At 37.2% G+C, this 27917-nt stretch overlaps 1 long non-coding RNA gene across 1 annotated transcript, besides 1 other annotated feature; it reads right to left on the reverse strand.

Annotated features, from left to right (window-relative positions):
• Positions 990–2189: an enhancer, noted in NCBI's record as "MED14-independent group 3 enhancer chr2:108250055-108251254 (GRCh37/hg19 assembly coordinates)". NCBI's record gives its function as "activates an origin of replication core promoter dependent on BRD2, BRD4, P300/CBP and CDK7 cofactors, and independent of MED14, by STARR-seq in HCT116 cells {active_cell/tissue: HCT116}" and the evidence as "EXISTENCE:reporter gene assay evidence [ECO:0000049][PMID:35650434]".
• LOC105373539 (uncharacterized) lies at positions 5859–18194 on the reverse strand. Its single transcript, XR_001739634.2, has 5 exons — positions 18111–18194; positions 17467–17554; positions 14278–14388; positions 6834–6858; positions 5859–6170 (listed from the first exon to the last, which is right to left on the reverse strand). It is a non-coding gene; the product is annotated as an uncharacterized LOC105373539 (long non-coding RNA).
• Between the last annotated feature and the right edge of the window lie 9723 nt (positions 18195–27917).

Below are 27917 nucleotides of genomic sequence, written 5' to 3' on the forward strand. Positions count from 1 at the left end.
TATATTCTAGAATTATACAATATATTATTACTGTTATTGCATTTTAATAGTTATTTTTGGATCAATTAAGTATAAAACAAAATACTTTATTTTACCTTCACTTATTTCTTCTCTGAATTTCTTCCTTTATTTATGTAGATCTGAGATTTTAGCCAAAGCACTTTTTCTCTGAGAACATCTTCATTTTTCCTTCTGGTATAATTTGCTTGAATATGGAACTCTAGTTTGATGTTTTTGTTTTCTCTTGCAATAATTTAAATGTTTTGTTAATATTTTATCCTCTTTCTGCTTGCATAATTCATGATGAGAAGTCTGATGTAATGTTTATTCTTTCCCTGTAAAGGTGATACATACCTCTCTCTGTCCCCACTGGCTATTTTCAGTATTTCCTTCTACCTTTGGTTTCCTGAAGTTTAATATATGTGTAGGTTCAGTTTTTAATTTTGTTTTTTGGGTTTTTGAGGGGAGGAAATACTTACCATTCTTGGTGTTTTTCTTAGCTTCCTGGATCTGTGACTTGATTTTGGTTATCCATTTTGAAAAGTTTTTAGAAACCATTACTTCAAATATTTTTTCTACTCCATTCTTTCTAGCATTGCAATTATGCATGTTACAATTTGGAATTTGTCTCAGAATTCTTGGATGCTCTGTATGGTTTATTCTTTAAATTATTGTTGTTATTATTATTATTATTATTATTGAATTTCAGTTTGGAAACTTTCTATTCACCTGTCTTTGATTTTCGTAATTTTTTTTCCTTTGCTATATCTAGTCTACTAATAAATGCTCTGTATGGTTTATTCTTTAAATTATGATTATTATTAGTATTATTATTGAATTTCAGTTTGGAAACTTTCTATTCACCTGTCTTTGATTTTTGTAATTTTTTTACCTTTGTTATATCTAGTCTACTAATAAATACATCAAAAACATTTTTCATTTTCATAACAGTATTTTTTTTCAGCATTTCTTTTTGATTCTTACTTTGGGTTTCCATTGCTTTGCTTAAATTACTCTTCTGTTCTTGCAGGTTGTCTCCTTTTTCAATTAGAGCCTTTTATATATTTTTCATAGCTATGTTACAGCCCAACAAGTTCTACATGCCTGCTGCACAGATAAAGCCAATACACTGAGACAGTAGTGTTGCAGTAAAGAAAGAGTATACTGCAAGGGAGTCAAGCAGAATGACGGGAGATATTTCTCAAATTCACCTCACCAGGAACTCAGAGGTTGGGTTTTTTAAGGATAATTTGTCTGGAAGGAAGCTAGGGAATGAGTGCTGCTGTTTCACTGGGGGGTGAAATAATAGAAGTGTCAAAAACATTCTGCTGAGTCATTTTCTGGATGGGAGTCACAGGGCCAGTTGAGTAAGTTCCTTGGTATGAGTCATAAGTCTGGAGTCAGTCAGTCGTCAGAATGCAAAAGTCTGAAAAATATCCCAAAGATCAATCTTAGGTTTTACAATATTGATGTTATTTATGGGAGCAATTCGGGGAGTTACAAATCTTGTATACTCCAGCTACCTGACTCCTGAGGAGTAAGAGATTATAGAAAAGCAAGATAGAAAACAATGGCAGGTTATAACTTAACTATGCCTATATTTTAGCAGAATTCATGCCTCTCCCTTAATCTTATCCTGATGATATTTTATTGGTCTACAAAAGCAGTTTCAACCTCTGGAGGGAGTAAGTTTTGGTAAGGGATTATAATTATCTTTGCTTTGAAGCTAAACTGTAAACTATATTACTCCAATAGTTCACTTGGCCTATGTTCAGGAATGAGCAAAGGCAGCTTGTGAGGTTAGAAGCAAGATGGAGCCAGTTATGGTAAATTTCTCACTGTTATATTTTTGGCGAAGGCAGTTTCAGTTATTTTAAATTTTTCATCTGATAATTTCAACATTGATATCACACCTCTGTCTGGTTCTGATGCTTCCTTTGTCTCTTCAGGCTATGTATTTCTTGCCTTTTAGCATGCCTTCTAATTTTTTGTTGAAAGCCAATGTATTAATCCATTTTCACGCTGTTATAAAGATACTACCTGACTAGGTAATTCATAAAGGACAGAGGTTTAATTGACTCACCATTCTGCATGGCTTAGAAGGCCTCAGGAAACTTACAGTCATGGTGGAAGGTGAAGGGGAAGCAAGGTACGTCTTGCAAGGCAGCAGGAGAGAGAGAGAGCTCCCACTTTCTTTTTAAACGACTTTTAAAGCAGCAGATCTGGTGAGAACTTCCTCACCATTATGAGAACAGCATGGAGGAAACTGCCCCCATGATCCAATCACCTCCCACCAAGTTCCTCCCTCGACACATGGGCATTAAAACTCCCGATGAGATTTGGGTGGGGGCACAGAGCCAAACCATGTCAGTCAGTCATGGTTTTTTTTGTATTTTTGTTTTTTTTTTTGTTAGCTAAGAAGACTTCAATGAGAGGTTTTTATGTTACTCTTGCTATTGCTAGGACTTGGAGTATAATTATTGTTTAAAGTAGCTTAGGTGCAAGAGGCTTCAAATTCCTTTAGTGTCTTTGTTTGTGTCTATCTTCTAGACTCTGGGCTATTTTAAGTTCTCCTCCTCAGAAAAATTCTTTGTCTTGCTGCTCTTTTACCTATAGTCTATTGTTTTTATGCTGGAGCCACGCTGGTGTTGTGACAGGGTGTAAGGGAAGGGAGGCCTTCTTTACAGTTACAATTAAATCTCAAACATTTACTGGGTCTGTTTCCCTAGGCCATGATCTTCACAATTATTTCTCTACTAAGATAGCATTTCTCCTTTTTCTTTCTCCCACTGAATAAGACAAGAAGACTAAAGCCTAGATGGTACTAAATTGGGAATAATGTCCTTCCCCATGTGAGATAAGGCTCCAGTAAATTCTTTTCCCTTATAGTCTTTTGTTATGAAAAATTTTCTCAGTATATTTTACAAGAGTTACTATACCCCTCCCTCTGCCAGAGTCACAGAGGGAGGGGGAAAGTTCTTAGCTCCTCACCATAAGAATCTGATGAGGTTACTGGAAATAAAATCCACAAGGTTCCTAGGCACCTCCTCAGACTGTCGCCCATAGGAGTGTTTAATCTCAAACTGGTCCACTCTCAGCCTCCAGCAATTCACCAAAATTACCATTTAAAACTTTCTGCTAGTTTATGGCTTTAGTGGCTTCATTACAGGTAGGTGGATCTGAATGCTCTTGATTTACTAATCTGTCTAATTTTGCAGTACACTAAAGTGTTCAGGAAAAGTTAGATTCTGGGGGCTTTTTTTTTTCTTTTGGTAAAGATGGCGGTGTGGCAACTTCCAATCTGTGATGGTTATTTTTATGTGTCAACTTGACTGGGCCACTGGATACCCAGAGTGCTGGATAAACGTCATTTCTGGGTGTGCCTGTGAGGTTGTTTCTGGATGAGATTAAAATTTAAATTAGTCGACCTAGTAAAACAGATGGCCCTCCCCAACCTGGGTGAGCATTACTCAAACCACTGAGAGCTGGACTGGAACCAAAAGGCAGAGGAAGGTTGAATTCATGTTCTTCCTGGCTGTTTGAGTCAGCACATCAATCTCCTCCTGCCTTCAGTGCTCCTTGTTGTCATGCCTTCAGGCTTGAACTGGAATTTATATCATTGGCTTTATGGCCTACCAGGCCAGGCAGGTATCCAGCTTGCAGAGAGCAGATCATGGAACTTCTTAGCCTCTATAATCACAAAAGCAAATTTTTTAGGATAAATCATACACACACACACACACACACACACACACACACACACACACGTACACACACAGATGCTATTGCTTCTCCAGAGAACCCTCAGATACAAGTTCTATATATGGGTCAGAAGTTGCCTATATCTAAAGTTTTAGTATACAGAAAACATAAATTCTGAAAAAGATTCACTGAGAGTAACTGCTGTGAGATGGGTCATTCCCACTTACACCCCTTCACCCTCCACATATGTATTCTAAATTTGTATTACATACTGGCCTTTGGTTTGTTACATGGACCTCAGCCTGGAGCACAATGCCCCTCTCCCCGACCATGTTGTTCCTACATTGAAGATTTAGTTGACTTTCTATCATGCTATAAGGCCAGTTGCTTCTGGATATATGCTGAGTTTAATGGATTATTTAGTTATACAACCATTTTTTCACATGCTGTTTAATAAATCTTCTTCTCAGGTAATGTGCAGCAAATGCGGTCAATATATTAGGTATTTTTTAATACCTCAGATTGTTGTGCTGGTTGAATAACTGCAAATAGGATAGGTATATATATACATAATGTGTGTTAACTCTAGGGAGAACAAACGTCTATCCCATCCAATGTGGTAGGGATAGATATGTGATGTCACGATCTGCCATCAAAAGGACTGATTTGTCTTCTCATGGGATAGCTTCATATACAGGGCTAAGACTGTAGAGACAATCTGGCAGATTAGACATTTATCAGGGGCAAAAGCTAGAATAATGTTGATTGAAAGGAGCTTTCGGGCCCATAAATAGTCTCTATCCCTTGCACTAAGACAACTAAATTTATAAACCCATTCAGTGGACACTGGATAGACCCCTGTTATTGACACCATCTCCTGTGGTGATTGCCCATCTGGTGAGCATTAATTTGAGACATAAAAAGCTTCAGGCTTTGTGTCCTTTCTTTTTTGTTTGTTTGTTTTGTTTTGTTTTTTGAGACGGAGTCTTGCTCACCCAGGCTGGAGTGCAATGTCGCGATCTCGGCTCACTGCAACCTCCGCCTCCTGGCTTCAAGCGATTCTCCTGCCTCAGCCGCCTGAGTAGCTGGGAGTACAGGCACACGTCACCATGGCTGGCTAATTTTTGTATTTTCAGTAGAGGCAGGGTTTCACCATGTTGGTCAGGCTGGTCTCAAACTCCTGACCTCGTGATCCATCTACCTTGGCCTCTCAAAGTGCTGAGATTACAGGCGTGAGCCACCACGCCGGGCCCTTTGTGTCCTTTTAATAGGCTCACCCATGTGTCTCTTCTCCAGACTTGCTTCTTCCTGACCTTTCAGTCTTCTTTCCTCTAGGCTTCTTATCCACTAGCCAAACTATTTGCCACTGTAAGCGGATAATGGATATCCGTGCTTTAGACCGTATCTCTTTTCACACAAAGGTAAGACACACTTAGAAGATTTTGCTTCACCGTTCTACTTTATAACTACCACTTAGTAGAATTGTGATTTAACAGCAGTCTATATTAGGGTAGCAATAACATATGATGAAGCCACCCTCTGTGAATTAGGGCTGAATACTTTGCTACACCATCACCGGGTTTGAGGGAACTCCTCTCAATGTTAAGGTCTGATTTAAGAGAAAGGAATTGGTGCAACAAAAGAAGGTAATAAGGAGTTGAACCTATCTCATAATGAGAATTTGGGTCTGCTTTTCAGTCTGGTTTGCTCCTTATTGTGGGAGATTAATCCTTTCTTAAACCCTGCCATATAGAATCACTAGCTTTCACAGCATGACCTAGTTTCGCAGTCAGCTGTCTTGAATCCATATTTTTTTCCCAAAACTTCAAAGTTGTCAATGAAAGCCAGCCTATTCTACAGTTATTAATATTATCACTGTCACCATACCTTCTGAGCATTACCAATCCAATATACCTCAACACTTTATATTCCAGTTACTTTATATCCCAATATTTAATTTTCCACATATATCTCCTGGTGTATACTTTCTCACAGGTACAAATTTCTATGACTGTGATGCTGGGTATTATCACTAAGCCACTTATCTTTAGCAATGGGCTCCCACTTGCAACAGAATGATAAATAACCAAATCCCCAAATCCCATCTTGAGGCTCTGCTTTCTAAATCAAATCCTGGTACCAACTCAATTAGCCCGTTTTCTCAGAAAGCACAAAAGTTTATTTGCTACTAATATATTGTGGAATAAAATACAGGGAACTAGAAATGACAGAAAAGATGAGTGATACAGAGAATGAGGAAGAGAAAATATAAGGTATAATATGAGCTGAGCACTGCTTGACAGCAAGAATAACTAATTGCTACATTTTGTGGGACAGTCTTAGGAGAGACCTTATGGACTTTTGCATCTCAGGACAGTTAGTATGGTGGGAAGAGATGAGGAAAATGTTTATTTGCTGTTCCTGACTTCCACTGGTCAAAGTCTTGTCCTGATCTTTAGCAGTCATTCCTAAGTTAAAAAGATTATTAGGTTATTATTTTTTATAATGTACATGATATAAACACTTCCCAGCTAATAGAAAATTTGTAGAATATGGTAGAGTTGCTGACATATTTTTGTAACTCTGAAAAAACACTACAATTGAAAGAAATATCCATTTTAAAAAATGTAATAAATACGCAAAATAAATTTACAATTGATCTGTCATAATTACTACCAATGTAGGTACAACTTTGTACAAAATAAGTAAAAAGTAAAATTGGGGAAAAATCACTATCTACAAATTAACAGATAATTTTAATATCCCATATGAGTACAAATGAAGTGTATGCTTCATTAATATTATTTTGACAGTTTCTATCATTGAGCATCATAATATTCTTTTTCCAAATGAAAACTAATTAAAAACTATTTAATGAGATATATGCAACAATATAATTTAACAGGATTACAACTATTCAACATAGAAATTTAAGCAGCTACCGAAAGAGAAGCAACAACATGTATTCTAATTACAATAATGCAAATCACCACAAACGTTATTCTAAGCTTGTTTTTAGCTTAATCATATGTGTTGGCAGAATATTATCTTTATTAGCTAGTTATGTTTGTCTTTAGACTAAGCTTCAAGTTTCTTGATAAAATATTGCTTGTTAAAATAACTTTACTTACTTTTTAGTGGTTATGTCATTTTTTCCTGTATGAGAAAACAAAGTCTTAATTTTTTCCAAGGTTAACTATAGGAACAACGTTGTACAGCATATTTCTAGAAATCATCTTGCATAGTTGAAATGTTATACCTGTTGGCCAGCCACTCTCCATTACCTTTTTCTTCAGCCCCTGAAAACCATCAATCTACTCTGTTTCTGAGTTTGACTATTTTAGATACCTCAAGTAAGTGGAATTATGTAGTATTTGCTCTTGTGTTTATTTCACTTAGCATAATATCTTCCAGATTCGCTCATGTTGTTGCAAATGTCAGGATTTCCCCCTTTTTTAAGTCTGAATAATATTTCATTGTATGTACATGCCACACTTTCTTTATGCATTCATCTATTAATGGACAATTAGGTTGTTTCCAAATCTTGGCTATTGTGAATAGTCCTGCAATGAGCATAGGAGTGCAGATAACTTCAAGATCCTGATTTCAATTATTTTGGAAATATACATAAAAGTGGGCTTGTTGGGTCATATGGTAGTTCTATTTTTAAATTTTTTGAGGAAAGTTCATACCATTTTCCATAATGGCTGCACCAATTTATATTTCCATCAACAGTATACAAATGTTCTCTTTTTTTCCCACTTTCACTAACACTTGTTATATTTCCTCTCTCAACTCTCTGTCTCTCTCTCTCTCTTTCTCCTTAAAAATAGTCTTTCCAAGAGGTGGAGGTGATATTTCATTGTGATTTTGATTTGTATTTCTGTGACAATTAGCAATGTTGAACATTTTTTTTCATATACTTGCTGGGCATTTGTATGTCTTCTTTGGAAGAAGAAAATGTCTAATTAGATTCTTTGCCCATTTTTAGTTGGATTGTTTGGTTTTGTTTGTCTTTTAGTGGTATGAGTTCCTTACATATGTTGAATATTAACCTTTTATCAGATATCTGGTTTGCCAATATTTTCTCCTATTCTGTTCATTGTCTCTTCACTCTGTTGATTGTTTTCTTTGCTGTGCAGAAGCCTTTTAGTTTGCTGTAGTCCCATTTATGTAATATTGCTTTTGTTCATTGTGCTTTTGGTGTCATATCTAAGAAATTATTAGCAAGCCCAATGCCATGAGACTTTTCCCATACGTTTCTTCTAGGAGTTCTACAGTTTCAGGTCTTATGTTAAAATCTTCAACCCATTTTAAGTTGACTTTTCTCTGTGGTGTAAAATAAAGTTGCAATTTCATTCTCTTGCATGTGGAAATTTAATTTCTCAACCATACTTGTTGAAGAGACTGTCATTTTCTCATTGTGTATTCTTGGCACCCTTGTCAAATACCTTAACCATCTATGTTTGAGTTTATTTTTGGGATCCCTACTCTGTTCCATGGTTTGTAAGTCTGTTTTAATGTTAGTCTCATATTTTTTTTTTGTTTGTTTTTGTTTGTTTTTTGAGATGGAGTTTCACTCTTGTTACCCAGGCTGGAGTGCAATGGCACGATCTTGGCTCACTACAACCTCTGCCTCCTGGGTTCGAGTGATTTTTCTGCCTCAGCCTCTTGAGTAGCTGGGAGTACAGGCATGTGCCACCATGCCTGGGTTTTGTATTTTTAGTAGAGACAGGATTTCTCCATGTTGGTCAGACTGGTCTCGAACTCCCGACCTAAGGTTATCCTCCCACCTCAGCCTCCCAAAGTGCTAGGATTATAGGCATGAGCCACTGCACCCAGCCATACTGTTTTAATTACTATAGCTTTGCAATATCTTTGAAAACAATAACTATGATGTCTCCAGCTTTGTTCTTTTTCAAAATTTCATTGGCTATTTAGAGGCTTTTGTGGTTCCATATACATTTTAACATTTTTTTCTATTTCTTAAAAAAAAAAACAACCTACCATTGAGTTGTTGATATGCCTCACTTATGGTTTGTAGATATCTTTAAGTAGGATGGACATTTTAACACCAGCATGTATTCCAATCTATGAGCATAAAATATTTTCACTTATTTGTGTCTTAATTTCTTTATTTGACAATTTGTAGTTTTTAATAAATGAGTCTTTTACTTCCTTTGTTGAGTTTATTCCCAGTATTTTATTATTTTTGATGCTATTACAGATGGTATTGTTTTTTAAATTACTCTTTGGATAGTTTCGTTAGAGTGTAGAAATGCAACTCCTTTTTATGGTTAATATTTTATCATGTAATTTCACTGTATTCATTTTTAGATTTATTTTACACATAGTCTTTGGGATTTTCTACATATAAGATTGTGTCATCTGTAAACAAAGGTAATTTTACTTCTTCCATTCTAATTTGCATGCCTTTTTAAAATGCCTAATTCCTCTGGCTAGGACTTCAATACTATATTAAATAAAAGTGGCAAGAATGGGCTTCTTTGTTCTAATTCTTAGAGCAAAAGCTCTTTCTCTCTGTTTTTTAAACTATAGAGCATGATATTAGCTATGTCTTTTCATAGATGGCCATTATGGTGTTGAGGTATATTCTTTATGTATCTAGTTTGCTGAAAGGTTTTTCTGTTTTGCTGTGTTTTTTTTCTTCCATATTAAATTATAAAAGGGTGTTGAATTATATCAAATGCTTTTCCTGCATTTATTGAGATAATAATGTAATATTTATCCTTCAGTTTATTAGTGTGGTGTATCACATTAATTGATTTTTGCATGTTGAAACTTGCATCCTAAAAATAAATCCCACCTGCTCATGGTGTATGATCCTTTTAATATGCTGTTGGATTCAGTTTGCTAGTATTTTGTTGAAGATTTTTGCATCTATGTTTATCAGGTTTATTTCCCTGTAGTATTCTTTTCTTGTAGTGTCTTTGTCTGGCTTGGTTTTAGGGTAATTCTGGCCTCATAAAATGAGCTCAGAAGTATTTCCTCTTCTCCATTTTTGAAGTATTCAGAAAGAATTGGTCCTAAGTTTTCTTTAAATGTTTGTTAGAATTCATCAGTGAAGCCATTTGGGCCAGGGCTTTTCTTCACTGGGAGGTTTTTTTATTACTGATTCAAACTACTTATTTCTTATTGGTTGATTCAGGTTTCTATTGCTTCAAGATTCAGTCTTGATAGGTTGTATATTTTTATGAATTTAAAAATTTCTTCTAGGTTATCCAATTTGTTGGTATATGATAATTCATAATAGTCTCTTGTAATCCCTTTTATTTCATGGCACCAGTTGTAATGTCTTTGTCATTTATGATTTTATTTATTTGAGTTTTATCTTAGTCTGTTTTGTGTTGCTATAATAGCATACCAGAGACTGGATAATTTATAAAGAAAATGAATGTATTTCGTACAGTTCTGTAGCTGAGAAATCCAAGGTTGAAGGGCTTGAACCTGGTGAGGGCCTTCTTGCTGCATTGTATTGTTGTGGAAAACAGAAAGGTAAGAGAGCACACAAGAGAGCAAGAGGGATGGAGTCAAACTCATCCTGTGTAAGGGTACCACTCCTGCAATAACTAACCCACTCCCATGGTAACAGCACTAATTCATTCATGAGGGTAAGGCCCTCATGGCCTAATCACCTCTTCAAGATCTTACCTCTTGACACGGTTTGGTTGTGTCCCCATCCAACTCTCATCTTCAATTGTAACTCTCACAAGTCCAACATGTCATGGGAGGGACCCAGTGGGAGCTAACTGAATTGTGGGGGTGGGTCTTTCTGGTGCTTTTCTCTTGATAGTGAATAAGTCTCACAAGATCTGAAGGTTTTATAAAGAGGAGTTTCCCTGCACAAGCTCTCTCTTTGCCTGCTGCCATCCATGTAGTAAGTGACTTGCTCCTCCTTGCCTTCCGCCATGATTGTGAGGCCCCGCAGCCACATGGAATTGTAAGTCCATTAAACCCCTCTTTCTTTTGTAAATCGTCCATTCTTGAGTATGTCTTTATTAGAAGTGTGAAAATGGACTAATACACTTCTCAATACTGTTGCATTGGTGATTAAGTTTCCAACACATGAACCCTCAGAGAAACATTTATATAATAGCCAGTCTACTCTCTTATTTTTAGTCTAGCTAAGAGTGTATCAATTTTGTTGACTGTTTCAGAAAACCAATTCTTAATTTTGTTGATTTATTTTGTCTTTTTTCTATATTGTATTTTGTTTATTTTTGCTCCAATTACTATTATTTTCTTCTTTCTACTTTGGCCTTAGTTTATTCTTCTTTTTCTAGTTACTTGAAGTATAAAATCAGGTTGTTCATTTAAAATCTTCCTTTTTTAATAGAGGTGTTTATTGCTATAAACTTTCTGCTTACCAATGTTTTTGCTGCATGGCATAAGTTTTGGTATGCTGTGTTTTTGTTTCTGGTTGTCTTGAATGATTTCCTAATTTCCTTTTTTATTTTTTTACTTGACTCACTGGGTATTTAGTAGTGTTTTTAAATTTGCATATGTTGTAACTTTTCCTGTTTTCCATCTGTTCTTAATTTCTAGTTTCATTCATTTGGTAAGAAAAGATATTTGATATAATATCAATCTTTTTCAAATTGTTAAGACTTGTTTTGTGACCTAACCTGTGATCTATCCTGAAGAATGTTTCATGTACACTTGTGAAGAAGTTTTATTCCAGTGCCGTTGGGTGGAATGTTCTCTATATCTCTGTTGGGTCCCTTTGATCGACAGTTTTGTTCAAGTCTGATGTTTCCTTATTAATTTTTTGTCAGGATTTTCTGTCCTTTGGTGAAATCTATTACTGCTATCATATTGCTAGCTATTTCTCCCTTCAGACCTGCCAATGTTTGGTTTACATATGTAGGTGCTCTGATGTTGGGAATATATGTATTCATAGTTTTCATATTTTCCTGCTGAATTGTATCTTCATCATTACATAATTAATGACCTTCTTTCTCTCTTGTGAAAGTTTTTTACTTAAAGTCCATTTTTTCTAATATAAATATAGTCACTCCTATTCTCTTTGGTTTTTAAAGTTATTCTGCTAGTCTAAGTGTTTTTGTTTGGGAAATCTACTCCATGTACATTTAAAGTAATTATTTATAGGTAATGACTTACTATTTCCATTTTGTCAATTATTTTCTGTTTTGTAGTTTAGACATAAACTATGTCTAAACTATGTAGCTTAGATCATAGTAGCAGGTCTAGTGGTGGTGAACTCCCTCAGCTTTTGTTTGCCTGGGTAAGTCTTTATCTTTCTTTTATTTATGAAGGACAACATTTTCAGGTATAGAATTTATGGTTGCTATTTTTTTTTCTTTTAGCACTTTGAGTGTATCATTTCACTTCCTTCTTTTGTAAATATACATATTGTTGAGTGCTGAGAAATCCACTCATAGTCTTATGGAGACTCCTTTGTACATAGTAAGTCACTTTTGTCTTGTTTTTAAAACTCTCTGGTTTTTGACAATTTGATTTTAATGTGTTATGGTGTAAACTTCCTAGATTTCTTTCTTTTTGAGGTCTTTTAAGTTTTATGGAAATGAATGACTATTTTTTTTTCCAGATTTGGGAAGTTTTTAACCATTATTTCTTCATATAAGCTTTCTTTCACTTTCCCTTTTTCCCCCTAAGGCATCTCTTATTTTTTATAATTGATGGTGTCTCACAATTCTCTTAAACTTTCTTCAGTCTATCTTTTTTTTTCTTTTTCCTCCTCTGATGATATTTTCAAATAATCTGTCTTCAAGTTCACTGATTCTTTTTTCTGCTTAATCAAGTTTGAAGTTAAATTCCTCCAGTAATGTTTTAGTTTAGTTATATCCTTCAGCTCGAAAATTCCTGTTTGGTTCTTCTTTATTATTTCTATTTCTTTGTTAGTATTAGTTGTTTTATTCATGTATTATTTTCTTGATTTTATTTACTTGTCTTTCTGTGTTCTCTTATAATTCACTGAGTTTCTTTAAGACTTTTAAAAAATTATTTGTCAGGTAATTCATGTTCTTCATTTCTTTTGGGTCATTTAATGAAAATATATTTTGTACTTTTTATTGTATTTTGATTTTCTCATTCTTGTTCCTTATAGCCTTGTTTTGGTAATTGAGCCTTTGCAGAAATAGCCTCCTTTCTAGTCTTTAAGAACTAATTTTGACTGGGAAAAACCTTCATCTGTCAACATGGCTACAGATGCTGGGCCTTTATTCCTAGCCACCCCAGGCATTCAGTTCCCTGTTCCCCATCCGCACAAGAGTCTGTAATGTTATGCTGTCTTTAGTGTCTAGCTATGTTTGTTCCATCAGCACTCCATGTCAGGTAAGATAAAAACCAGCCCTTTGACAATGCACTGAAACTCCTGAGATACTGGGAGCATACTCTGCCTATCACCTCCCTGCTGGGAAAGAAGCCTCAGTTATGCATCTTTGTCCTATCTTACAGACCCATACTGGCTGCAGCTATGCCAGGCATTCAAACTCTGCTGGTTTTTTCAGTTCTCTGTATGAGTCAGGGCAGAAGCCAGCCCCTCATATAGTACAGTGAAAGGCCATAGACATTGGACATTTGCCCCACTTCCTCTTCCCCTGTACCCTACAGAAGTTGCAATTTCTCTTGGGGATGGGCTGTCAAAACTTGGGGAAAGAATTGATGCAAGCAAAGTGAAACTGCTCTTCTTGCCTTTATCAGTGCAGTTTATCATCTCAATTTTATAGTCATCTGGGGTATTATAACTTTTTAACAGGAGTCTGCACATCTCATAAATATTTTGTTGCTAATATTGTTGCTAAATCTGTCTTTTTGTAGGGGAAAGATTGCTGGGACATTTCATTATACCATATGGGTAATATGGCTCTGAGATTGTTTATTCTAAGTTCAGTTTTCTATAGAGTTTTAATCATGCTCAAAATAATTTGGAGATATTCTTTTACCTTCAAAACAATGACCTTTTTTCCCCTAATCATTCTTAGTATATAAAAAAGGGTTTTTTTTTATAGACTCTACTATATCTACACTTCTTTCAAATTGAAAAGTAGTATGATATACTGGAAAACTGTCTCTAATGTTATAATATATATTTTTAAACATTCATTTAAAACCTACTGTGTACTGAGCAGTTTCCTACTTAACATCGCTAGTAGTATCCCATTCCATTGTCATAAAAATTTGTAATGGAAGTATTGTTATCTCTATCTGGAAATTGAAATTTCCTGAAGACAGATACACAGATTTCATATCCCATCTATATATTTCTAGTTTTTTTTAAATAGATAAGGACATGTTTTATAAAGTATTATAATCAGGGCAAGTGTTCCAACATCTTATGAAAGAAATCTGTTTGTGTCATGTGTGATATAAGCAGTAATGCCTGGCTATACACATGACAGCATTTCACCCTGACTTAGAGAGAGTTCCCTAGAATCAGAGCTTGAAATTGGGGTTGTTACACAATGATTTACTGGAAGAATGCTTTTTAGGAATAACCTATAAAATAAGTGAAGAAAGTAGGATAAAACAAGGGAGAAACTAAGCATGGATGTGGGATTAGGTTGTGCTTACCCTCAGCAAGATTCATGGGAGCTCTGGAGCCTAAGGAACAACATAATGTTGTCCTGCCTTGTGACAAGGAGGCTGGACATTTATTCTCTTCTTTTGGTCACTCTCAGATATCTTGGGACAGGAAAATTCATAAATTAAGACAGTTACTCGAAGAAGAGTGTAACTCTTTGCCTTTGTTATCCAACACAATAGTTAGGGATGTGTAAAGTGGCTCCACAATGGGAATTGTAATGGATTCCCATAGCGGAGCCACTCTACCCATCCCTAACTATTGTGGATGGTCACCAAAAGTGCTCAATATTAACTTGAACAACAAAGTATTAGCAGGTTGCAGAAAGCTCATGGAAGCACTACTGAAGAGTGAAAGATGGCAATTTGTCAACAGGATTGCTATATTATGGATTAAGCAGTAGGTAAACCTGTCTATACAATTCCACATTCAGAACACAGGAATACCACAATAATGGAAACCAATTGCAAATTAAAATAATGTACTTTTCAATTAACAAAGTTTAGTCACATTTATTTTGAAAAAATACCATGAACCTATCATAATTGAGGAGAGTCAAAAGAGAGGAAGATTGTGAACACTGTCTATAAAAATGTAGACAAGCCAGACAGAATAGAAAACTTGGTTGGCTTGCTCGCTGCTCCTTGTGCTGCTTTCTGTAGTTCATTGAAAGGCCATCATCTCTTGGAATCAGTTATGTGTTATATTCTCCCATAGCAATTCTTTTGTTCAATTTATTACTAAATTATTTTATTTCTTACTAAATAATCAGTTGTATGTTAAATTACTCCCATGTTAATTATTTTGTTTATTTATATTCCACACCTTTCTGCTCATTCCAATGGAGCAGTTCAACTGTTTATGGGCAATGCCTTTCAGTGTTCTGTCAGGAAAACATAAACCACTGTGTTTAGAGAAAATTGAAATAAGAAATTGGTTAGGAATCGAGGGTAAGATGGCCGACTGGAGGCAGACAAGTGGAACGGTTCCCACTGAGGGACTGAGATGACTGGTGTGCATTTGTTTATTTATTTTGAGATGGAGTTTCATTTTTGTCACCCAGGCCAGAGTGCAATGGCATGATCTCGGCTCACTGCAACCTCCACCTCCCGGGTTCCAGCGATTCTCCTGCCTCAGCCTCCCAAGTAACTGGGATTACAGGCGCCTGCCACCACACCCAGCTAATTTTTGTATTTTTAGTAGAGACGGGGTTTTACCATGTTGGCTAGGCTGGCCTTGAACTCCTGACCTCAGGCGATCCACCCACGTCAGCCTCCCAGTGTTGGGATTACAGGCCTGAGCCACCATGCCCGGCCTGGTATACTTTTAAAAGACCTTCAGAGGGAAGGTGCCAAGAGTGGATGGAGAGAAGACACAGAAGAGGGCTGAAGTGGGAAAAATCTGGGAACCCAGCACAGGCTACCAGCACACCAGGACTCATTTCTGAACCACAAGAGCTTTAGGGCAATGGGTAAGTTGAACTGGCAAGAAGCAACCTGCACTTGCCTTGGGCCTCTGGAATCCTGGAAGGAAGGGACCCCTCAACCACCAGGGGCACTTGAGTTGGCAGGGATAGCTGCTTAGAGAAGTGGTGGGACAGCAAACCAGCTGATGTGGAGCCCAGAAGGTTTGGTGTGGGAGCGCCTGTAGTGGAGCATGGTCAGGGATGGGCATCCCTCTAGGTTCCTCTTGCTATATCATAAGAGACTTTAGCTCTAGGGGAACTGTTTGACCTGATCTCTGCAAGGTGGTCTTGCACGTCAGACAGGCTGATCCATTCTGAGCGCTCCTTGGTCTGCTGTCCTCTCCTGGGTCCCAGCTTGGCCAGGCCTGCTTACAGAGCAGTCTCAGGTACCCTGGGGACCCACACCATAGCTTCTGCACTGGTCTGGTGGAGAGCTCTTGCAAAGCAGTCTCTGTGGCCTCACATCAGCCCACACACTTCCTCCCCTCGAGCCCATGGAAGGCCCCCACATCACTTTGCTGGCTCATGTCTGCATGGGTGGGTTTTGCTTTACTTGCTCAGCTGGCATGCAGGAGTGCAATATACCCCCCAAACCCCAACCGCACCCACATCCCCACCATTGCAGAAGGATCCCTGGGGGGCACAGAGCCAGCGAGCCCTGCCCTCACCCGTGCTCTGTCTTTGCACTAACGTTAAGCAGAGCACAGGGGATCCTCCCACACCCTGAGCCATGACTCCTGTTTGTGGAGCATAGAGAAGACACGCAGATCAGCCCCAGCCAGCACCCCACCCCAAGCCAACACTATCTCCAGTGCAACACTGCACACAGTCTCCAGCAGAGGTCCCCCACTTCCTCCGAAGCTGCCTTACCTCCACCACTGTGGTGAATACCCGCAGGGAGACAGGCACCCCTGCATCTGCTAGCACTCTGGGGCAGCTGCCACACCTCGCGCCCCCCATTCCCTGCCAAACCCCAACGCAGTGGACTCCAAATTTCAAGGAGTCAGAGAACAAAGTCAGAACCCAATACAGGTACCCCAGAGCTAGAGCACACAGTCCAGGATTGGAAGCTGAGCATCGGCCCTCTAAAATCTCCCAGAAAGGAAGCCAGTTGGCTGAATCCACCACATACCACAATCAAACCCTCAAGGTCATAAAAGAGGATAAAAGAAAAAAAAAATCCAAAGGTCAGCAACCTCAAAGATGGAAGTTAGATAAGCCCACAAAGCAGCCCTTAAAAAGAACGAGATCATGTCCTTTGAAGGAACATGGATGGAGCTGGAAGCCATTATCTTTAGCAAACTAAAGCAGAAACAGAAAATCAAACACCATATGTTCTCACTTATAAGTGGGAGCTGAATGATTCGAACACATGGACACATACAGGGGAACAACACACACTGGGGCCTATTGGAGGATGGAAGCTGGGAGGAGGGAGAGAATTAGGAAAAATAACCAATGAGTACTAGGCTTAATACCTGGGTGATGAAATAAACTGTACAACAAACTCCCATAACACAAGTTTGCCTGTGTAACAAACCTGCACATGTACTCCTGAATAAAATAAAATTTGACAAAAAAAATAAACTGGTTAAAACGGTGATGGGATAGCTGACACACTAAAGAATAGACTGCAAGGAATATTACGAATTATTAGGAGCAAGAAGCTCCTATCTACCTCTGGCTGAAGGGACATAGAAAAGTGGTGGCTTACCAGATTGCAGATTCTATAGTTGTGGCAGGGAATGGATACCACAGAGGGAGAAGCTGAAGGTACAGAGCTACCAAAGGGGATTCCACTTCTGGAAACACCATCCGAGACAGCATAAAAGAGAAATAATTATGTAAGTGTCTCCAAAAATATAGTTTAATGCCCACGAATATGGCAGAATGTTGTTAGTTGCCTAAGTTATATAAGTATGATAATATGAATGCTACCCGTGGCAGAACATAACTTGGCAATATTAACTATCTCCTCGCTTTTTTGTTTTGTTTTGTTTTGCAATAGTGATCTTCGTTTTGTTTTAGAGACAACCTTTATTGCCTCAGAGGACATTCATTTGCCAAAACGATGAATACAGTAGAAACTATAGAAAGTAATTACATCAACAAATTTTCAAAAACTTTTAAAAATTTTGACCAGAGTCAAAATATTGAAAACCTATTATTTGAGAAAAAGTAGGGATTTTGAGTTTCAAAACTTGTCTATAACTATCAAGACCCAGAATCCCAAAGATTTTTCATATAAACTTATTTATAAAGAAATTTTAAAGATAATTCCCATGACACATACTTTAACTTAATCTTCTCAAATACTGCCCTCAACCCACATACACACACACGTGTATATACACATACCTCAACAATATAGGTAAAAATCCCTTGTAGAAAATGGAAGGATCTTCCAGTAATGGCACCAGAGTAGACATGGAAAATCTCCTGCAGACAACAATGAGAAAACATTGCTGAAATATGAACAATTGACTAAAAATGTTAGAAGTAGGAAAAAAATGTGGAGGAATGGTTACTTGAAAAACTGCAACTGTAATGAATAAGAATAATAAAGTTGTATACGTCTTGCCTGAGGGTATTCCACAATCCCTGTGACTATGGTTGTGAAAAACCACACCATTATGAGCTTGGGGTAGCAGAGGATAGGTTCCAGCCTGGGGAAAAAAAATTATAAATTTAATAGAAAGTCTTAGAAATAACATGATCACAGAAGTTGTGAAGTTCAAAATGAGGGTATAAGCTCTACTCAAATCCCCGTCTGGCTGTAAAAATATGCAAGCATAGAAAAACCCCAGGAGACCAAATGGAAAAGCAGGAAGAGACAATGGAGATATCTGTGTTTAAAGTACAGATTTTTGGCCAGGCGCAGTGGCTCACGCCTGTAACCCCAGAACTTTGGGAGGCGGCGGTGGGTGGGGATCACAAGGTCAGGAGATAGAGACCAGCCTGGCTAACATGGTGAAACCCCATCTCTACTAAAAATACAAAAAAATTAGCAGGGCGTGGTGGCAGGCGCCTGTATTCCCAGCTACTTGGGAGCCTGAGGCAGGAGAATGGCGTGAACCCTGGAGGCGGAGCTTGCCATGAGCCAAGATCTTGCCACTGCACTGCAGCCTGGGCAACAGAGCAAGACTCCGTCGCAAATAAATAAAATAAATACAGATTTTCGATTTTACTTCTTTCTTAACTGAGTAACTTCATAAATCCATGCACAATAAGTGCAAAGGAGACCGTGTTTACTAGGATAAAATAGACAGCAGCTAGAAACTGTAAGAATTAAGTGTAGAAAATAGTGCTATATTTTGCAGGGAAAACAGACCTTGAAGTCTGAGTATAGGCAAGTTAATTGGTTACCAGAACAATGACGCAACAATCCTCAGATAAATACAAAAGAATCTAGTGTCACTAAAATGTATGATCTACTATGTCCAGTTTTCAACTAAATACTACCAGACATGTATACAAACAGGAAAATGTAACTTATACTTGGGAAAAAATGGCAGTCAATAGAAACTGATGCTGAATAAAAGCAAATTTAGTAAGAATTTTTTACCCAAAGTTTTCAAATCAACCATTGTAAATATGTCCAAATAATTAGAAGAAAAGTGATTTTAATGAGTTAATATATAAGGAATTTCAACAGAAGAAAAATGAAATTAAAATAAATGGAAATTCTACATGCAAAAAGGATAACTATGTAAAATTAACTAGAAATGCTAACAGATTAGACAAGGCAGAATACAAAACCAGGAAACTTGAAGATAAATCAATAAAAGTAACCTTCCCTAAAAAATAGCAAAAAAGAAAAAAAGACTGCCAACAACAACAACAACAAAGCCACCACCAACAGCAAGAAGACTCAGGAACACATGGAAAAATATCAAGTGGTCCAATCTAAGTACACCTGGATTCCTAGAACATTGAAGGTGAGAGGGGGTACATAAAAATATTTTAAAGAAATGATGGCCCCAAATCCCCTAATTTTGTTAAAAAATGACCTAACAATTCAAAAGCTTAACAGACACCATGTAAGATTAACACATAACACAAAGAAATTTACTTCTAGGCAATGTCAAACTGCTGAAATCTAAAAATAAAGAAACAATGTTAAAAGAACTAACTAAAAAAAATTACAATTACATATTTGAGAACAATGATGTCATTAGTGGCTGATTTTCTATTTTTATTTTATTTATTTATTTACTTATTTATTTAACTTGTATTTTAGGTTCAGGGTAAGTGTGCAGGTTTCTTATATAGGTAAACTCATGTCATTGGGGGTAGTTGTACAAATTATTTTGCCCAGGTACTAAGCCTAGAAACCAATGGTTATTTTTCCTGATCCTTTCCTTCCCCCCAGCATCCACTTCAGGTAGGCCCCAGTGTCTGTTGTTCCCCTCTTTGTGTCCATGTGTTCTCATCATTTAGTTCACACTCAAAAGTGAGAAAATGAGGTATTTGGTTTTCTGTTCCTGCATTAGTTTGCTGAGGATAATGGCCTCAAGCTTCATCCATGTTCCTGCAAAGAACATGACCTTATTCTTTTTTATAGCTGCATAGTATTCCATGGTGTATCTGTACCACATTTTATTTATTCAATATGAGTGGCTGATTTTTCACTGGGAAAAAGTTGAGGCCCAGAGACATACAAATGATATATCCAAAGTGCTAGAAAAAAATGAAAAGAAAACCTTAAAACTAAATTTTTAAATCTATATTTAATAAACTATTATTCAGAAATCAGGGCAACATAAATACATTTTATATAAACAAAAAACTAAGATGAAATATCATCAGCATATCTGCATTACAAATCATTCTATATAAAAGTTTTTCAGGCTAAAGAGAAATGAGACCAGGTTGCATAAATATTTAGAAGATGACACTTTTTAAAAGGCAAAATTTTAACAGGCATTTCTTAACATATGTATGGATGTCCAATAACCACATGAAAAGATGTTCAACATATTTTACTTATGAAGGAAATGTAACTGAAATCCACAATAAGGTACCTATACACATTCTGACAATGACTAGATGGGACTGAGAAGAGCTCACAGAGTCTTTGTACCCCAGCACTGTTAGAAAAGCAGCTTGGAGTTAATGACCGCCCCACCCCCCACCCACCCATACACACACACACACACACACACACACACACACACACACACAGATACAAAAGGGCTGAAGGAGAGGACAAGAGAGATGCTGAGCAATGCTGGCAATTGAGACCACAGTGGAACTGTGGACACTAACCACTTATGAGACTGAGGATAGAGGGCCCTACCTCAAAGAAGAAATGAGAGAAGCAGACCTCAGTGTGCTCCAGCCAGAGCCTGAGCATCACGGAGGTCCTGAAATGCCCTTCTCCAACAATGAGGTGGCGAAACTTGAATTTCTTGAGTTCAAATCCTGAAGTGATTAGTTTATCTGTGGAGGACTATATTAATTTGTATGCCATTTTGCAGTGTAGGGGTTAAAGATAGCACTTTATTTTTGGAATTGTTATGGTTAGGCTTTGTATTCCCAAATTTGTATCCCCACCCAAATTTCATCTTGAATTATAACCACCATAATCCTCACATGTCAAGGGGGAGACCAGGTGGAGGTAACTGGATCATGGGAGTGGTTTTTCCCATGCTGTTCTCATGAAGTGAGTCTGTTCTCACAAGATCTGATGGTTTTATATGTACTTGGCCAAGTTCCTGGTTCAGTCATTCTCTCTCCTGCCACTTTGTGAAGAAGGTGCCTGCCTCCCCTTCACCTTCCGTCATGATTGTAAGCTATCTGATGCCTCCCCAGCCTTAAGAAAATGTGAGTCAATTAAACCTCTTGCCTTTATAAATTACCTGGTCTTGGGAAGTTCTTTATGGCAATGTGAGAATGGACTAATACAGAATAGAAAAATAAAGTAACATTTTTGTATATATAAGATCTGTGACTTGAAGTTAATAGTTTGTACCCCATATTTGTAGAAAGTTAGCCAAGAAATTCAGGAAAGATATTAAAAAATCACATACCTTCAATAGATGAATGAATTATATGACACCAAGTTAATGCACATAAACTATGTTAGGTTAGTTTTTACAAATAATAAGTCAAACAGATTTGACTAAATGACAATGCAACCTACATGTGGTCAGAATAATGATACATGACTAATGCTATATTGATTTTATAAATCAAGGCACTGCAGACACAAAAGTAGTTAGGAAAAATGATAAGCTTAAGGAAGGTGGTAAGTTTTTTTTGTTTGTTTGTTTGTTTTTTGAGATGGAGTTTTGCTCTTGTCACCCAGGCTGGAGTGCAATGGTGAGATCTCGGCTCATTGCAACCTCCACCTCCCAGGTTCAAGCAATTCTCCTGCCTCAGCCTCCCAAGTAGCTGGGATTACAGGCACTGACCACCATGCCCAGCCTTTTTTTTTTTTTTTTTTTTTTTTTTAGTAGAGACAGGGTTTTGCCATGTTGACCAGGCTGGTCATGAACTCAGGTGATCCACCTGCCTCGGCCTCCCAAAGTGCTGGGATTACAGGTGGAAGGTTGTAAGTATTTTATTACACATAAAATAGAAGAAGGTTTTACCATCAAGAAAGGATAAATGTATTATTTTATTCATACAAAAATGTGAATATACCTTCTCTATACCTAGGACTGAAAGACGTAAGCAAATGAATATAACTGTGTTCTTACTAAAGCAAAAGTTGTAAGGTGAGTAAAAATGGAATGAGGAATAGCTCATCCAGAACTAGAGAATTAATGACATTCCAGTTTGCTGAAATAAAGCGTTGTGATTTTTTTCCCCAACTAGGCAAGGATAACACTGATGAAGCCTAATCCATTCTTGCTCTTCTTACCTGTCTTCTAATAGTTTTGAAGGCTAATTATGATTTTCCTTTCAGCCACTTCAAAAACAGTATTTTCAGAAAAATCCTCATTCAGGTTATGCTTTCATGTAGCCACCAGGCATTAATTATCACACAGAAGACTAATTTGGAAACTGGCTGCATAGAGGCAAAAGAGAAGAAATTCACTCAGTTGAATAAAGATTTTCAGGGGAAGCTTGAGAGTAATGGCACTGTGAAACACTTTCCTGAGAAAGAGTTCCCTGTCAAATAAAAAGAAAATTAGTTTTTCTGCTGTGTTCTCTAGCTATTTTCTTGAAGTGCCCCGACACAAGTGATATAGGCCCCAAGCTGCTTTTAAAACCTGTGTTAAGTTGGCAGGGAAATATAAAAGAAGGGCGCCCTTAATATCGGCTTTTAATTCCTGAGAACAACATTTACCTGCTTTCACAGAAAAGAAAGTCTTTTTACAGCATATGTTTATGCAATGACCAGATTATAAACACAATTAATTAAATCATCAGATTTTACCCTTGATCCATTTGAAGTGCAAAATAAAATGGTGTAGTCCACAGCTTCTAAGATGGTCCCAAAGATTCCACCTCCTGACATTCAAAGTGTTGTATAATTTTTTCCTCTTGTGAGCCTTGCTTCTAAATAATAGAATCCCATATCATTGAGGAGACATACCTTCCATGATTAAATTACAAAAGATTCTGACTTCCATCTCACTAGTAGACTCTCCCCCTTGTTAGTTTTGATGAAGCAAGTTGGCACTTTTAAGAGGCTCAAGTGGCAAGATATTGAGAGTGGCTTCTGGCCAAGACCCAGCTAGGAGTTGAGACCCTCTGGCCAATGCCCTAAAAACAACCACATCTTGCCAGCAATCATAAAAGTGAGTTTGGAAGTGGAGACTGGCCCAATTGAGTTTTCAGATGAGACTCTAGCCCTGGCAATCACCTTGATTGCAGTCCTGTGAGAGACCTGGGAGCAGGGAATCCAGCTAAACTATCCCAAGGTTCCTGATCACAGAAACAGTGAGATAGTTGGGGTGTGTTGTTTTGAAGCCATTAAGTTGCTGATCATTTATTACACAGCAATAACAATAGATGGCTAATACAAATGGCAAGAGTGGCAACCAATTTTTTAAAAGCAAAATTATTTACTTCTATTTATTTTTACTGCAGTGTGTGTTAGGGAAATCAATATATTTATACAAAAATCCAGAACCTACAGTATTAACATTCCCTGGTAAATAATCTTACATTACATTTGAATCAGAATAGTTCACTCCACTTTAATTACTTTTCTTTGGGGACCTCAAAGGGCTTGTTTGCGTGTGTATTTTTCAAATTTGAACTGGCCAGTGTGACACCATCCAGAAAGAAAGAATAAAGGTTTGAATAGCATATTTTTCTTTATAAAGGAACCAAATATGATAGGCTGACTCACTGAAAAAATAATTGTAGGTAATTCTCTCATAGCGTCATGGGTTGCCTAAAGTTGGAAAACCCATTAAAAATAAGGTGATATAGTACCAGATGAGGAACCCAAGTTCCCAGATAACCTATATTGTGTGGCCCGCAAGCTATGAATGGTTTTTACATTTTAAAAAACATTATAAACAAACACATAAGAAGAATATATAACAGAGTCATACATGACTCATAAAACTTTAAATACATACTATCTGGATTTTTATAAGAAACAGGTGCTGACTCCTGTTCTATGTCATAATATAGATTTTGGTTACACAGGTGGAAACATTTTCAAAACTCAGAAAATATACACTTAATAGTTTAGCATTTCATTTTGTGCATATTTTACATCAAATAAAAAAACGTCAAAAATAGAACTTCAGTTAATAATAATAAAGCTGCTGAAATAAATACTTGGGGAATTACACAGATATCTGCAAGTTACTCCAAAGTGCTTCAAAAAATAAGATATATTTATAGACTGATAAAGGAACGAATGAATGTATGGATATGTGATAATGCAATTACACTAAAATGTTAGTAGAATCTAAGTGGTCAGCATATTTATTTTCACTGTGAAGTTCTTTCCATTTTTAGTGCAGGTGCCTGAACAATCGCATAATAAAATGTTAGGAACAAATACCATTCTACATGGTGCTAATTGCCAGGAAGTCTATTTAGTGAGTATGAATTGTATAATCACAACAAGCCCCAAAACCCTAGGTGGGTGAAGTTGTAATTGTGTGTCTTTAACTCAATTTAGGTTTTTGGCTGTAGGCCCCAGCCTAGGCAGACAACTTAATCAAGTCAACTCCAGATTTGTCTTCAATCCAATCCAGTGATTCCTCAGTCAATTCAAACCTACAATTTAGACATATGACTGAAGAAAGGAAGGAAGGGAAAGAGGAAAGGAGAAGGAAAAAGTAAAGAAAGAAAAGAAAAGAAATATCCCATTCATTCCCTCCTCCCTGGGGTGGTCCCTAGACTTCTGGTAATTGATGTGGCCCCTGTCTCATCAAGGCTATGGAGAAAGAAAGTCTGCCTTTTTATTTGGCTTCTCTGCAGGTCTCCTTGCCTAAGCCCTGCTCCAGTCTTGGTAGTAAGCACAGACAACAGACCTTCTCTTTCTAGCAGGGCTTGACAGGCTTCTGAACCCCCACCAGCCCCACTTTGTTTTCCTGGTGTCACTTATATATCAAGTTGCAATGGATTTTTCTCTTATCCCCTGACAGGCAGTTCATAGAACATCCTTTTGGTGCATTTTCTCTTGTTCCTTCCTGCTGACCTCCTGAGGAGGTATGTGCCCCCTCTCAGCCGACTTCAGGACCCTGCTGGGGCCCCATGGTAATTTACAGATCTTCTTTTATTCCAAAAAATTGCCAGGTGAAGTTCTGGAGCTCTGGTGGCTACTTACTCTGTACCTTAGTGGCGTGGGGTGTTGCATTTGTGAGCCTGCTGCCTTCAAAGTAGATTATAAGTCCTGTGCACTTCTACATTTTCCAAAATACCAAGGAGTGTTCTATTTTGCTGCTCATCTCTCTCATCTCAAGATGATGGCATTGGGGAAGATACATGGCCCACACAGGGCTTCTTTTACAGTTTGAATGTTTTCGTTCCTGCCAAAATTCATGTTAAAACTGAATCTTCGATGCAACAGTATTGGGAAGTGTTGTCCCTGGGAGACGAGTTAGCAATGAGGGGATAATCCCACATGAATGGGATTAGTTGTTACTATAAAAGGACTAAATGAAGGGAATTTGCCACTTTTCTCCTGCTCTGTCCCTTCCAGTGTATGAGGACACAGCATTCCACCCCTCTGGAGGATTCAGCAACAAGATGCCATTTTGGAAACAGAGAACAGCCTTTATCAGATCATCAAACCTGCTGAGACCTTGATCTTGAACTTCTCAGCCTTCAGAAGAGAGAGATAATAAACTTCCATTATTTATAAATTTGCTCAGTCTCAGGTACTTTGCTATAAATACACTAATAGACTAAGACAGTTCCAACTCTATTCTTCTCCTCAAAATGTGTTCTTTTCCAACCCAGTTTGGTGGTCATAGTGTTCTTTGGGGGGAGAGTCTAGGAGATACCTGTTCTACCTGTTTGTGTTGTCTTTCAAGTCTGTTTTGATCTACACTAGGCCCTAATTTGAACTTAGACACTAAGTATAAATGTGGGTATTTTTTCTTGGTTCTTTACTCTACTAGTGCCTTCTCATCTGATTGTCAAATCTGAGATAGTTGGCTGCACAAGAGGGTTAACAGTAGATGAAATAATCTTTTCATGTATTATCTTACCATGTATTACTACTTTATACATACTATCTATCACATTTACAATATGGAAGGAGCAACAAAAAATAAGGCATATAAATCATTGTAAATTATGCATATTACTGATTATATATGTTTATTTTATATACCATATTTTGTTTCAAGAAAGAATGTAAGAAGTAACTAGACAGTGTAAATGTGTTGCATGAGAAGCATGAATAAGAACTATGAGAAGATAAGAAGGGGGAGAATTCATGCTAAGATGAGGGAAGGCAAGACTGGGGTTAGGGGAGGTGGTACAGGAGGAGAAGTTTCCATGTAGTTCCTCCACTACATGAGTTACTAAACTGGCAAGAACTCTCTTCATAAATCCCAAAGTCCAGACTCTTCATACCAACTACATTGAGACTCCTGAGTACCAGTGATAGCAATCGTAGAATCTTGAATATATAGTTGCTCCCCTCATCTTGGGCTTCAGTACTCAATAAAACTTCACCAAAATCTTTAAATTTGAAAGTGCTCTCTCTCCTAAACCTGAGCACATGGTCAAGAATTATTTCTGCATTACAGAAGAAGAAGGTAGAAGAGAAAGAGGAGGAGAAGGAGGAAGAAAAGGGGAAGAAGAAAGGGAAAAAGGAGGAGGAAGAGAGGAGAGGGAGGATAAACTACTTACAGATTGATATTACCTAATCTTTCCAACATCAAGCAAGCCCGCTACATTTATAACTGTCCCCTCAATCCCAATAAAATAGGAGTTAACACTTATGTCCAAATCTAGAAATTCTCCTGTAATCTGAATCATAACTCACTGCCACATTTAAACATCTCATGCTACTCTCCATCCCCTCTTCTTGGTATTTATCTTGCTTGGTATTAGCTATAATTCCTGGATTTTGCTTTTCATTCTGCCATTGATTTTGAAAAATTCTTGGCCATTACTCTTTAAATATTATTCTTTTCTATACTTTTTTTTATCTTTTTCTGATATCCAACTATATACTTGTTACATCTTTGAAAAATGTCTCACAGTTCTTGAATGTTTTGTGCCATGTTTATTCATTCTGTCTTCTCTTTGAATCTTTGTATGGGGTAGTCCTGCTGACCTATCTTTAAGCTCACTGATTATTTCCTCAGCTGTGTCTAGTTTACCAATAAGATTATCAAAGGCAATCTTCATTTATGCCATAGAAGTTCTTAATTCTAGCATTTTCTTTCAATTATTTCTCAGAGTTTCCACCTCTCTGCTTTCAATATCCATCTGCTCTTGATGTAGTCTACATTTTCTATTAGAGCCCATAATATATTATTCATAGTTATTCTAAATTCCCTGCATGGCAATTTCACAATTTTTCCATATTTGTATCTTGTTCTCATGCATGCTTTGTCTCATCTCATCAGACTGTGCTTTTCTTGCCTTTTAATAGGCCATCTAATTTTCTATTGAACATCATGGATTAGAATTGAGATAAACAGGCCTTTACTGTAAGGATTTATGTTATTTGACTAGAAATTGGACTACGTTTAATGTTTTCTGTAGCTGCAGGAGCCAGAGGCT

This window comes from Homo sapiens, chromosome 2 (genome assembly GCF_000001405.40).
Source record: "Homo sapiens chromosome 2, GRCh38.p14 Primary Assembly".
In the NCBI taxonomy this organism is placed as follows: domain Eukaryota; kingdom Metazoa; phylum Chordata; class Mammalia; order Primates; family Hominidae; genus Homo; species Homo sapiens.